Below are 14,859 nucleotides of genomic sequence, written 5' to 3' on the forward strand. Positions count from 1 at the left end.
TTCTCAATAAAAGATGATCAATATTATTAATCATTAGGGCAGTGTAAATTAATATCACAATATAACTTCACATGTACTAGGATAGCTATAATAAAAAAGACTAATAATAATAAGAGTTGGTAAGGATGTGGAGAAACCGGAAACCTCATACATTGATAGAATGTAAAATGGTGCAGTCATGTGAGGAACAGGCCTAGGTCTCAGGTCTCAGCCATCACTCATCTATCCTGGGGAGATACTACAATGGTTTGGAGGACAAGAAAATAAAACCGAAAACTAAAACTGACATATCACTATATGCCCACCACTAATGGCTATAGTAAAAAAGATGGAAAATGCCAAATGTTGGCAAGTATGTGGAGCACTAGAACTCGCATACTGGGTTGGTGGGAGTGTACATTGGTACAACCACTTGAAAACTGGTTTTATAACATATAGCTGAACATATGGATACACTTAGGTACATACCTAACAGGAATACATACATATGTTCACCAATACACAGCAACACAATTCCTAATAGCCCAAGCTGCAAACAACCCAAATGTCTACAAACAGTAGAATGGATAAATTATATTGCAGCATATTCACAGAATGGGATACAACATGACAATGAAAATGAATTATCTACAACTATATGCAACATATGGATGACTCTCACATACATAATGTGAATGACAGAAGACAGATGCTAAAGAGTATATGGCTCAATTATATGATATATAATTGACTCAATTTATATAAAATACAAAACAGGCAAAATGAATCTATGCTGTGAGAAGCCAGGATAATGTATACCCTTGGGGGCTTGCCTGGAAGGGAAAGTGGGGAAGGCTTCTGGGGTGCTGGTCATGTTCTGTTTCTTGATCTGAGTATGTTCAGTTTTTGAGAATGCACTGAGCTGTATGTTTATGATATATGCATTTTCTGTATACATTATAGTTTAATAAAAAGATTTTAAAATAAAATAAAAATACAATTGCATGCTAGAAAGAAAGTTCCTTTTTATGAGTATTGTAAAAAATGTTTAAGGGAAAATGAGAACGTGTCTATATATCAGTGTTAAAAAAGAGCAGTGCTCTTTCTTGAGAAGTCTTCCAGTTATTCAACTATGATAAACTGTAATTATGTCTTAGAATAACTAATTGCAATGCAACATGACTTTATCACATAGCAGTCTACACAAAACTACCCTTAATGTGCATGTAGGAAATGAATATACCTTAACCAAATAGGAAGAAAAACAAAATATTAGGAAGTGAAACTCAATTTTTCAACCATTCTTTTTCAGGAAATCCCAAGGAAAGCAGGGGTGTTGGTGGGTTAGCCTGAAAATCTAGAGTGCCGTGGATCAGTTCCATTGTCGTAGGGTCAGTTACTGAGGGAATCAGGAATCTATGGCCTGCAGCTTATGCAAATGACAGCTTTGGGGACATAGGTTAGAAGGCATGCATACTTCTTATAGGGTATGACTCATCTGCTCTCCCAGCAGGGAATTAATAATGAGACAACTACTACCTTTATATGTCTGTATCATTCAATGACTATATTTCTGTAACATAGCCTAGAGCTAGGCCTAATTTCTCAATTCATAAAGTTATATCTTTAAATTTAAAAATTCCATTGCACTTAAAATATATATACCATGAGGACTTCCCAAGGGAAAAGAAAAAAGTTTTTCATGGAAATCTTTTCTATGTCTTAAGTGCCAATGATCACAAAAACAGATATCTGCATTCCCAAGTAGGTTTTCTGCCTTGATGTCAGTGCCCTGCCAGTGTTTGGACAATGAAAACTCTTCTCCTCAACCTAGAAATTTGAAAAAGTTTTTCCCAGTAGTGAGTATTTTTATGTCCCAGGATATGCTGAACCAATCAGTACTGAATTTAAAAAGTTCTTTATCCAAAAAGTGAAGCATAAGAGATGACGAGTCATCTCCTCAGGTCTTAATTCTACTATTTCCAGGAGCTCAAGAGGTCTGTATGAATCATGTCACCAAACATGACTTTCGCTCAAATGCTTTCTCTAAAGGCTCTTCCTATGCATAGAATTGCATATACACTGTGGTGATGCAGGAACTTGTCTTTCCAGTGGACTGAAGGATACTTGGCTCTGTTTGCCTTCAGTTCACTCAAGCCTCAGTCTCTCATACCCATTTCCCCCTGTACAATGATTGCAGCAACAGGCCTTCCTCCTCCCTGCTATTAGATACCTGATGCATACCCAGTTGTGATTTCCAGGTGAAGACTTTCTCAGTCACTGGCTTTATAGCGTTTTTCTCCACTATGCATTTTCTGGTGTTTAATGAGATTCGATCTGTCAGTAAAGGCCTTCTGACATTCTGTACAAGCATAAGGTTTCTTTCCTGTATGAATTATCTGATGCATACTTAGTGTGGCTTTCTGGATGAAAGCTTTCCCACATTTACTACATTCATAGTGTCTTTCTCCAGTATGAGACTTCTGATGTATATTGAGGCGTGACTTCCAGGTGAAGGTTTTCCCGCAGTCACCACATTCATAGGGTTTCTCCCTAGTGTGGATTTTCTGATGTGTTATGAGATTTGATCGGTCAGTGAAGGCCTTTCCACATTCAGCACATATATTGGGCTTCTCACCTGTGTGGATTTTCTGATGCACACGGAGTTGTGACTTCTTAGTGAAGCATTTCCCACAGTCGCTGCATTCATAAGGCTTCTCTCCAGTATGGATTCTATGATGCGCAATGAAGTGCGATTTCTGGATAAAGGCCTTCCCGCATTCAGGACAAACGTACGGTTTCTCTCCTGTATGGATTCTCTGATGCACGCTTAGTGTTGATTTCTGGATGAAGGCTTTCCCGCAGTCCTTGCATTCATAGTGTCTCTCTCCAATATGAGATTTCTGATGTATTTTGAGGCGCGACTTCCATATGAAGGCTTTTCCACAGCCATTGCACTTATAGGGTTTCTCTCCAGTGTGAGTTTTCTGGTGTTTAATGAGATTTGACTGGTCAGTAAAAGCCTTTCCACATTCAGCACACATATAGGGTTTTTCCCCAGTATGAGTTTTCTGATGTGTGGTGAGGTTTGTCCTGTGAGTGAAGACCTTTCCACATTCTGTACATATATAGGGTTTCTCTCCGGTGTGAATTCTTTGATGCACATGGAGTTGTGACTTCTTAGTGAAGGATTTCCCACAGTCACTGCATTCATACGGCTTTTCTCCAGTATGAATTCTCTGATGTGTGTTGAAATGTGATTTCTGGATGAAGGCCTTCCCACAGTCAGCGCATACATAAGGTTTCTCTCCCGTGTGGATTCTCTGATGCATCCTGAGTGCTGATTTTCTTGTGAAAGCCTTCCCACATTCATTGCATTCATAGTGTTTCTCTCCGGTATGAGTTTTCTGATGTATACTGAGGTCTGAGTTCTGGGAGAAGCCTTTTCCACATTCACTGCATTCATAAGGTTTTTCTCCTGTATGAATTCTCAGATGTCTAAAGAGGTCTGATCTCTGGAAAAAGGCTTTTCCACATTCACTGCATTTGTAGGGTTTCTGCCCGGTATGAATTTTTTGATGTGTAATGAGGTTTGATTTGAGGGTAAAGACTTTCCCACATTGAGTACACAGATAGGGTTTTTCTCCTGTATAAACACTTGGATGTACATCAACCTGGGGTTTCTGGGGGAAGACTTTGTTGCTTTTGTCACATTCACGGGACTTTTCTCCAGCATGAATTCTCTGATGCTCAAACAGATGTGACTTCTGAGTGAAGCCCATTACACATTCAGTACACACATAAAGCTTCTCCTCAGGATGAATTTTCTGATGGTGGGTGGGAGCTTGTTTGTGGCTGAGATGTTTTTCATAGTGGTCATGTTCACAGGAATTTGCTCCTGTTTTAGCATTCTCATTCTTAGTAGAGGAAGGGCTATGGGGGAAATTGTTACCATTTCCAAAAATCTTGCCAAGGTTCTTTGTTGCACTGTTTCTATTATGATTATGTGAGTTTAAAGTATGCTTCAAAATTGTGTCACAGTTATGGAGTCTTTTAATTGAAGGAACAAGCTTGGTAGTCACATGAATTATTTTTTCAATGTTTTTATGTTCATAGCCCCTCTCCTTAATCAATACTTTCACATGACTTAAAAGGTTATTCTGGTTTTCCTGACGTTGCTCTAGCTGGTCATTATCTTGCCACAGTTCTTCTAAAATAGAACATAATGAATCTTCTCCTATGGGTTGATCAAATCTCTCACAGTGGAAGAAAATTCCTCCAGGAATTCCCTGTTGCTGCATTTTCCCAATAGCCTCACCTAAAAAGAAAATGAAAGAAATGAAAACGACACAAAGAACAATCAGCAGAGGCTAGAGGGGACATGTAGTTCAGACAGGATGAACACAGATAAATGGAAGAGCCCATAGGACAATATAGTAGTAATAATGTAGCAACACAACATTCTTATAGAACACTTAATAAATGCAAAACAACTGTATACCATTTATGATGCACAGAGACTGTTACAAGTGCTTTACATGAAACAGCTCATTTAACTAACCCTATGAGGTAGCTAAACCCTATGAGGTAGCTACGATTATCATTTGTTTTACAATTTAGAAAACAGAGGCACAGAGAAGTCATGCAACTTGCTGAATATCGAATAGCTAAATAAGTGGGAGAGATGGGATTTGAACTCTGGGAGTCCAGCTCCACTATGTAAGAGGCCTGGATTGTGAGTAGAGTAACCAGAAGAAACTGCAGCCTGTGAGGGGAAGCTTGGCATGGAAGAAATATTTCAGAATTTATGTTCTTAATACATATCAGCTCCACCACTTTACTAAGCTCTCTGCTTCTTCTTGCTTTTCCCTCTATACCATTATGAGTGGAGCCCTTCAAATTTAATGTTAATTTGAACATTAAATCTATATGCCTCAAACACCAATTCCTTTATATCTATAGGAAAACTAGTTGCAACATGCCATCCTGACATAGACAAACAGTAAATAGACATTTGCACTCCAACTTTATAACCAGCTGCAAGTTTCTTTCTTTCTTTCTTTCTTTTTTTTGAAATGGAGTCTTGCTCTGTCACCCAGGCTGGAGTGCGGTGGTGCGATCTCGGCTCACTGCAACCTCCGCCTCCCGGGTTCAAGTGGTTCGCCTGCTTCAGCCTCCCGAGTAGCTGGGATTACAGGCATGCACCACCACGCCCAGCTAATTTTTGTATTTTTAGTAGAGACGGGGTTACACCATGTTGGCCAGGCTGGTCTTGAACTCCTGACCTCAAGTGATCTGCCCACCTCGGGCTCCCAAAGTGCTGGAATTACAGCTGTGAGCCACCGTGCCGGCCCCAGCTGCAGTTTCTATTGGTTCCAGGAATACATGCTTATAACAAGGCGTGTAAAAGAGGAAAGGGAAAGCTATCTGTGGCAGAATCTGCAGGCCCTCCCCTGAGATCTATTCTCCCCTTCTTTTACAGGAATAGAATGTAGCTGGGCCTTACATCCACTGGCCTCGCTATGTTCTCAGCAGTGGAATATGAGCAGAAGTGATATATGCTACTTGCAGGCCAGCCTTAAGACAGTGGGCAAATGTCCTCTATTTCCTCTTCCCTCTTCCCACTGGACTACACAGTGACCCATCATTAACCAGGCAGGTGACAACAATGCCCCAGGAGATGCCAGAGGAGTGACTTAGAACATGGTCCCTGAATGACCCATCAGGATTAGAGTTGACTTGTTGAACTGGACCCATTCACCTCAGAATTATCATGTAGGGGAAGACATACATCTATATTTAGCCTCTTGTTTTGTTCCTCTGTGCATATCCAAAATGTATTGTCTTTCTAAATATTAGCTCTAATTTTGGTATACCTCTAGGGAGCTTATGTTTGCTATGAATTTGTAAAGCAGACACTGTACCATTCATATTGATACTCAGTTTGGCACAGTTTTATAACAGAAAGGACAAATACACAAAGGGTGAGAGTGTTAACATTTCATGCAGTCATCTTCCCTTTCCAAATATAATGTATGTTCCTTTGAATTCCTCTGAGCAGACACTTGAAAATTTCATCTGAAAGAGGAAAAATCTCCTCCTCTGCCTATATCCCCAAATTCAATAAATTCATTTACTAAATATTTTCTACATGCTCCACTTCAGGAAACTGAAGAATAAGTATGCTGGTTATCAATGTTTTGCCTCTCAGTTCCAAATTCACCCTTCCTTGCCTGCTCAACAAAAACGGATCTGGCCCCAGTTACCCTGATGTGATTATTACACATCGTATGCTGTATCAAAATATCCCATGCAGGCTGGGTGCGGTGGCTCATGTCTGTAATCCTAGCACTTTGGGAGGCTGAGGTGGGTGGATCACTTGAGGCCAGGAGTTTGAGACATGGCAAAATCCCGTCTCTACTAAAGATACAAAACTTAGCTGGGCATGTTGGCATGTGCCTGTAATCCCAGCACTTTGGGAGGCCAAGGCAGGCGGATCACCTGAGGTCAGGAGTTAGAGACCAGCCTGGCCAACATGGCAAAACCCTGTCTCTACTAAAAATACAAAAATTAGCCAGGCATGGTGGCATGCACCTGTAATCCCAGCCACTCGGGAGGCTGAGGCAGGAGAATTGCTTGAATCCGGGAGGTGGAGGTTGCAGTGAGCCAAGATTGCACCACTGCACTCCAGCCTAGGTGACAGCGAGACTCTGTCTCAAAAATAAAAAACTCCAAAACTCCCAAATATCCCATGTACCCCATAAATATATATACCTATGTACCCATAAAAATTAAAACTTTAAAAAGTGGATCTCGATCTCTTTAAATATTTTTTTCTTCTGCCAGCTGGCACGATATTAAACTTTGTCAGTGTAAGATGCTAGAGAGACACTGCAGGATGAGGAGGGTTTGCTTCCTGGTTCTAGGGGGCTCACTCAGCAGGCTCATCCAGCAGGGGCAGGCTGTCTAGCACCAGGCTCATGTAGTGTGGGCATCTTTGCCAACATCTGGCTCCTGACGCACATGTAGTGTCCCCAGTACCCAGGTCTCGCGGTCTTCTCTAGAGCTCGGCTCCTGCAGTGTGGGTGACTTCTCCAGCACCCAGCTCCTGCAGCTCATATGGCTTCCCAAGCACCTAGTTCCTGCAGGCCCCCGCAGTGCTGTACAGTCAGCAGCACCCAACACCCCCCAGTTTACTCTCAGACGATTTGTAGTGGAATAGCTCCAGTGAGTCACCTCCGCATCAATAGCTTTCCCTGGAATCCTAGAGGGCAGGTTTCCAGCAAGTTCCACCAGCACAGCACCACAGCAAGTATTCTACCTGCCTCGAGCCATGGTTGTGCCCTCCCTACAAGGTCTGAATTTCATCCCTGGGAAGTAGGGAGCCTCTTCCTTGGATGCTTGCTCACAACCCTAGAAGAACCTGCTGTGCTTTCTATCTGCTATTCCTTTATTCTTCAGAGTTTCTTTTTTTGCTAGCAAATCCCTCATTATTCCAGTCCCATGGCTCACTGCAACCTCTGCCTCCTGGGTTCAAGCGATTCTCCTGCTTCAGCCACCTGAGTAACTGGATTACAGGCGTGGGCCACCACACCTAGCTAATTTTTGTATTTTTAGTAGAGACGGGGTTTCACCATGTTGGCCAGGATGGTCTTGAACTCTTGATCTCAGGTGATCCACCTGCCTTGTCCTCCCAAAGTGCTGGGATTATAGGTGTGAGCCACCACGCCTGGCTGCAAAGAATCTTTATGTTAACCATTCTCTGTTCACATTAGTCTGTGGTTTCTCCCTCGGTAAGACCCTGAGTTATACTACAAGAAATAGGCTCTTCATGTATACATATTTCAAAACATCATGTTGTACATGATAAATACATACAATTCTTATGTGTCAAATTAATAGATTTTTCTATAAAAAGAAATAGGCTCTTTTTTCTTAAATTATTTTTTTGAAATAGAGATGGAATCTTGTTGTGTTGCCCAGGCTGGTCTTGAACTCCTGGCCTCAAGTGATCCTCCCGCCTCGGCCTTCCAAAGTTCTGGGTTTACAGACATGAGCTACCACACTCAGCCTGAAACAGGCTCTTAATTCCGGAGACTTTCTAAAAACATAGAGGTAAAAGCCTCAGTTACCCTATACACTAAAATCCTGTGATTTTCTCAGAATTCTTGTGGGATGGAGGATGAGAAAAAGGAAAGAGCCATACAGACTAGAATAATTAAAAGCCATTTTGTGAGACAGGTGAGAACTGATCACAAGGTGGAAAATGTCTCATCTGAATAGACAGAGCACAGAATAAACAGATTCAGGGAGGACTATCAGATATGGTCAACATTAAGAAAATATTAAAAATGGAGTTGAGCAGAGGTTACAGAAAATATACAGATACGAGTTGAACTGGAAATATGTGGCCATGTTGTTTATTTCTTTGAAAGAAGAGTTTAATTGTCATATACTAGGTAATGGAGAACAATTGTAGGTTTGTTTCATAATGCTCATGACAAGAGAAATAGAATGTTTTAGGTAAAGATATCTGTCATTAGCATTTAATATGAACTAGTAAAAACAATGGAATCAGCAAATAAAATCAGGAATAGAATAATTACAATTCAGGCAGCAGAAAATATGGAGCTGGCCGGGCGCGGTGGGTCACACCTATAATCCCAGCACTTTGGGAGGCTGAGGCAGGCAGATCACTTGAGGTCAGGAGATCGAGACCAGCCTGGCCAACATGGCAAAACCCCATCTCTACTAAATATACAAGAATTAGCAGAGTATGGTGGTGCACATCTGTAATCCCAGCTACTCAGGAGGCTGAGGCAGGAGAATCGCTTGAACCCAGGAGGCATAGGCTGCAGTAAGCCGAAATGGCACCGTTGCATTCCAGCCTGGGTGGCAGAGTGAGACTCTGTCTCAAAAAACAAAAAAAGAAAAGAAAAAGACTGAACAGGAGAAAAGGTCCCTAGGGAAACCTTGCTTATGGGGAAAATGAGGAAGAGAAGGCTGAAAAAGGGGCAAATAATAAATGGGATGCAGATCAGTAAGAAACAGACAATTGAGGAGGCACAATTGAAACCAGGGCAATGTTATGAACAAGGTAATTCATAGGAGGGAAGCTCAAAGAGGTATCAGGTAAATCATGAAATGTCCAAATTAAAAATTAGATACCCTACTGTTGCATCACGAGGTTAAAAAAAAAACAGAGAGCTACCCCTTTATACCCACTATTGACCAAAAAATGAGAAACTCTGGTACTACTAATTGTTAGCAGAAACACTGGGGAAGCCAGAACACTTGTACAGTGCAGCTAATCTGAGAATAATATGGTGGTACTCAGTCCTATTCTGGATGAGGTACTCCATGATTAGGTGCAAATCCTCTCTTCTCTACACATCCCTGAGAAATTCTCATACCCTGTAAGGAAACATTTATGTAGAAGTTGATTGCAGAATTGTTTGTATTAGATGGGACTTGGACACAATGATCAGCCTCCATGACTAGGTGAGTGGTTAAGTATGATGTGGTGCTGGGGACATTGTGAAATACTATGTAGCAATTTGAAGAACAAAGCCAGACAAACACACTAAAATATGGAGAGACCATAGGAATGAGTGAAAAAAAAAGGAACAGAATTGAGAAACATAGTACAATATGTTTAATATATAATAAAAATACATACTCATAAACCAATACTTCAGGCTTTAAGAGAATATCACACAATTTCAAGGTTCAAACACATTAGATCAGCTGCCCATGGGAGGAGGCATAAAGAATGGATATGGAGAATTGGAATAAAAGAAAAGACCTGGCCAGGCGCGGTGGCTCATGCTTGTAATCCCAGCACTTTGGGAGGCTGAGGCGGGCAGATCACCTGAGGTTGGGAGTTCGAGACCAGCCTGACCAACATGGAGAAACCCCATCTCTACTAAAAATACAAAATTAGCTGGGTGTGGTGGCGCATGCCTGTAATCTCAGCTACTAGGGAGGCTGAGGCAGGAGAATCGCTTGAACCTGGGAGGCAGAAGTTGCAGTGAAACGAGATCGTGCCATTGCACTCCAGCCTGGGCAACAAGAGCGAAACTCTGTCTCAAAAAATAAATAAATAAATAAAAATAAAAATTAAAATTAAAATTAAAAAAAAAAAAAGACCCATAATCCCAGCAAAGACCTGTAATCCCAGCACTCTGGGAGGCCGAGTCAGGCAGATCAGTTGAGCCCAGGAGTTCGAGTCCAGCCTGGCCAACATGGTGAAATCACGTCTCTACAAAAAATACAAAAATTAGCTGGGCATGGTGGCATGTGCATGTAGTCCCCACTACTTGGGAGGCTGAGGTGGGAGGATCGCTTGAACCTGGGAGGTGGAGGTTGCATTGAGCCAAGATCATGTCACTGCACTCCAGCCTGGGCCACAGAAATTTTAAAACACTTGGATGTATAAGAAAAGACTAAGATGGGGGGCAGGGGTAGAGTAGGAAGAATAAAAAGGTCCTAGATAAGACAGGGTGGTATGTGATACAGAGTACAGAGACTAGAGACAGCTCTCTTGCCAAAAGGCCAATCAAAGAAGACAATAATGTGGCAAGGGTCATACATGGAAATGGCATTTAGGTATTTGAGGGCTATTGTCAACTATCTCCAATTGACTCCAAAAGTTTAGAACTTTCAAGATGGGTTATCTTCAGAGTGTTTCAAAGGCATCGGGCTTTCCTAGGGAAAGTGATACTGACTTCCATGTCCCCATCTGTCTGGGTCATGCTCACTCACCTGAACAGCTCTGATGTGGGGCTTCCCCCTCCAGCATCCATGGCCCCTCTCCTTGCTCCAACTTGAAGGCAGCCTCTGACTTGGGAATTTGGTACCCTGTTAACAGGACATGATACACGATTGGGTCCAGCTGATTGGGTTTCAGGGGCCTTTCAGTGACACTTTCCCTTTGCTTTTCAGAAAAGTAAACACATTTCACTGGGAACAGAGTAATAATCACAGAGGTGAAAAGGAACTGAATCCCAGACAAATCCAGGATGACACCATCACATAGGTTAGGTGTCGGGCAGCACTCAGCAGCCAAGAATGGAAATACCCTCATTAGCAGATGCATAGGGCGGCCGTGCTTACCCACTGAGAGCAGGTGGCTGTAGTTCTCTAGTGTCACATCCCAGTACAGGCGTCTCTGGGCAGGGTCCAAGTGCTGCCACTCCTCCTTGCTGAAGTCCACAGTCACGTCCTCAAATGACACTGAAGCCTGTAACGACACAATGCTGTTCAAGGCAGCATGGTCAGCACTGGGGGATGGAAGAAGGTAGATAGCAAGTTGTTTTTAATGCTTTTTACCATAATGTATCATGTAGGGTTTTCACTAAGTACTTAGTTTTGTATTTTATTTTGTGAGAGCTAAAAAACTTATTAAAGTATCTTGACATTTGTTGTGTACTACATTAATTCATTTATTCATTCATTCTCTTTTCAAAATGAGGATTTTAAATGGGCTCTCTTTAAGTCCTCCAGCTAACTTAAAAACAAGATACTGGCCGATTATGTGTCAGATGATGTGCTAGGCAATGGTGATAAAGAGTTGAGTAAAATATAAAGCAACTTAAAGACTTGGATAACCAACAGCAGACACAAAGGGAGCTTTAGGAATTTGGAAGAAAAGTATAGGAGGTATAAGGTTAGATTTCATAGAGACAGTGGGGCGAGAGTTATCTAGAAGGGAGAAGCATGAGCAACAGTGTGGAGAAAGGAAAATAGAAAAATACATGGTGGATTCTGGGAACTGCAAGTAGTACCATATAAAGGAAAGGAGTCTGTATAGTATATTGAGAAGGTGACTATGAGGAAAATCCAGTAGAGATATACTAGCATCAGAAAAAGGAACAAGTCTTTTTTTCTAATAGAGAATGGACTGCAATTTATATGCAGGAAAAGACATGATGGTAATTGTGTGATTTCAAACAGTATTCAACATACATCAGGCTGGGCATGGTGGCTCACTCCTGTAATCTCAGCCCTTTGGGAGGCTGAGGCAGGTGGATCACCTGAGGTCAGGAGTTCGAGACCAGCCTGACCAATATGGTAAAGCCCCGTCTCTACTAAAAATACAAAAGTTAGCTGGGCGTGGTGGCGCACGCCCGTAATCCCAGCTACTTGAGAGGCTGAGACAGGAGAATTGCTTGAACCCAGGAGGTGGAGGTTGCAGTGAGCCGAGATTGTATCATTGCACTTCAGCCTGGGTGATACAGAGTGAGACTCCGTCTAAAAAAAAAAAAAGGATTGATCACGAGGAATGTTTGAAATGGGTGAGTCCAGATCAGTCTGGAGATGCACTACAGAGTTTATGTGAGAGAATAAGACAATCTGGACTTAAGGCAGTGGTTGTCATGGGCAAGTAAAAGAAGGTGTTGGCTGGGCGCAGTGGCTCATGCCTGTAATCCCACCACTTTGGGAGGCTGAGGCAGGCGGATCACCTGAGGTCAGGAGTTCGAGACCAGCCTGGCCAACATGGCAAAAACCCCGTCTCTACCAAAAATACAAAAATTAGCCGGGCACGGCGGGTGTCTGTAATCCCAGCTACTCGGGAAGCTGAGGCAGGAGAATTGCTTGAACTCAGGAGGCGGAGGTTGCAGTGAGCTGAGATCACGCCACTGCACTCCAGCCTGGGCGACAGAACGAGACTCCATCTCAAAAACAAACAAACAAACAAACAAAAAGAAGGTGTTCATGCTGTGTTTTAAAGAGCCTGAATTATGGGAGTGAGAAAAAGAATTCTAGGGCAATTCTCAGTTATCGGTTTTGTACAACCATGCAGACAGTGGTGTTATATACTGAGAGGGGCTAGTAGATTAGGAAGGGAGTGGGGAAGAGAATGAAACATAATGTTACATTTTGTCCATGTTGAAATAAAGGTGGTAAAACATGCAGGGAGTTATACAATAAGCTTTTGGGCTATTATAGAGGTAAGATTTGGGAGTTCTCATATAGAGCTGGGAAACAGATGAGACGAACCAGGAAGGGCACACAGATAGAGACGATACAGAAACCATCTCTTACAGACCATCTCTAAACCAAGTGTATTTAAGTCAGAAATCAGTAATAAGACGAAACTTTTCTGAAATCATCATTTTAAAGTTTAAAAATACAGTTCAAAATAACTGATCGTCTAAGAAGATACACTCAATATCAATGTAATCAGTACATGTAAGAATTTATTGGATTAAGAAATGGTAACTAAAGTGGAAATTAGGGTCTCCAGTGCTCATATTACAAAAGAATAAAGTCCAAAATTCCATGCATTAAGCATTGAAATAAAGACATTATAAAAATAACAATAGAGTAAAGCCCAAGAGAAAAAATCTTTAAAAAGCAGAAATCAATACATTCAATGCCATCCCAATTGAAATCACAACAGGATTTTTGTAAAATCTGACAAACCAATTCTAAAATTTCTGTGGAAGTGCAAATGGCCAGGAATAGCTAAGGCGTTTAAAAAAAATTATTTTGTATCTTGTTTTCAGAGACATGGTCTCACTTTGTCACCCAGGCTAGGGTGCAGTGGCGCAACCACAGCCCACTGCAGCCTCAACCACAGGCATACGTCACCATATGCTGCTTCGTTTTTTTTTTGTTTTGTTTTTTTTTTTTGTATTTTGTAGAGACAGGGGTCTCCCTATGTTGCCTAGGCTGGTCTAGAACTCCTGGCCTCAAGTGATCCACCTGCCTCAGCCTCCTAAAGCACTGGGATTGTAGGCGTGAGCCACTGTGCCCGGCCTGCCAAGACACTCTTGAATAGTTAAAGCAATGTGGGAGGACATGCTTTACAAGACCTCAAGACTTACAAAGCAATGGAAATTTAAGACATTGTTGTCCTGGTGCTAGGATAGACAAATAATCCATTGCAACAGAATATAGAGTACAGGCCGGGTGCAGTGGATCAGGCCTGTAATCCCAGCACTTTGGGAGGCTGAGGCAGGTGGATCACTTGAGGTCAGGAGTTTGTGACCAGCCTGGCCAACATGGAGAAATCTCGTCTCTTCTAGAAATACAGAAATTACATGGGCATGGTGGCACGTGACTGTAGTCTCAGTTACTTGGGAGGCTGAAGCAGGAGGATCACTAGAACCTGGAAGGCGGAGGTTGCAGTGAGCCAAGACCGGGCCACTGCACTCCAGCTTGGACAACAGAGTGAGACTCAGTCTCAAAAAAAGAAAAAAGAGTACAGAAACAGACCCACATATACAGTCACCTGATTTATGCCAAAGGTGTCCAGGCAGATAGTGAGGAAAAATATTTTCAACAAATGTTGCCAGGGCCTGGGCGTGGAGGCTCACACCTGTAACCCCAGCACTTTGGGAGGCTGAGGCAGGTGGATCACTTGAGCTCAGGAGTTTGAGACCAGCCTGGACAACATGGCAAAACCCCATCTCTACAAAAAACACAAAAAATTAGCCAGGCATGGTTGCGTGTGCCTGTAGTCCCAGCTACTCAGGAGGCTGAGGTGGGAGAATCACCTGAACCTGGGAAGCTGAGGCTGCAGTGAACCATGACTGTGCCACTGCACTCCAGCCTGGGTGACGGAGCAAGACCCTATCTAAAAAAAAAAAAAAAAAAAAAAAAAGAAAGAAAGAAAAGAAGACAAGGTTGTGTATAGAAAAAATAAAGTAAAATCTGAGCTCTATTTCACATTACATGCCAAAACAATAACATTGTTTGAACCTGGGAGGCGGAGGTTGCAGTAAGCTGAGATCACGCCATTGCACTCCAGCCTGGGTGACAAAAGCGAGACTCCATCTCAAAAAAAAAAAAATCAATTCCAAGGCCAGGTGCAGTGGCTCATGCCTGTAATCCCAGCACTTTGGGAGGCCAAGGCAGGAGGATTGCTTGAGT

General features: G+C 42.2%; 1 protein-coding gene across 44 annotated transcripts in view; it reads right to left on the bottom strand.

Moving 5' to 3' along the window:
* Window positions 1-14,859, bottom strand: part of ZNF41 (zinc finger protein 41) — a 38,045-nt gene continuing 23,186 nt past the window's right edge. For 19 of the 44 annotated variants that reach the window (XM_047442478.1, XM_017029814.3, XM_047442476.1 and 16 more), the window contains 3 exons: window positions 11,095-11,237; window positions 10,744-10,839; window positions 1-4,297 (listed from right to left, as the gene is read on the bottom strand). In XM_047442478.1, coding sequence (XP_047298434.1) covers window positions 2,253-4,297; window positions 10,744-10,839; window positions 11,095-11,237 — 2,284 coding nt within the window. In that variant the 3' untranslated portion in view covers window positions 1-2,252. Of the gene's footprint in view, window positions 4,298-10,743; window positions 10,840-11,094; window positions 11,262-14,859 lie in introns of all 44 variants that reach the window. The other 25 variants (NM_001324139.2, XM_047442482.1, NM_001324147.2 and 22 more) reach the window with 4 other exon arrangements.

Source organism: Homo sapiens, chromosome X (assembly GCF_000001405.40).
Source record: "Homo sapiens chromosome X, GRCh38.p14 Primary Assembly".
Classification (NCBI taxonomy): Eukaryota; Metazoa; Chordata; class Mammalia; order Primates; family Hominidae; genus Homo; species Homo sapiens.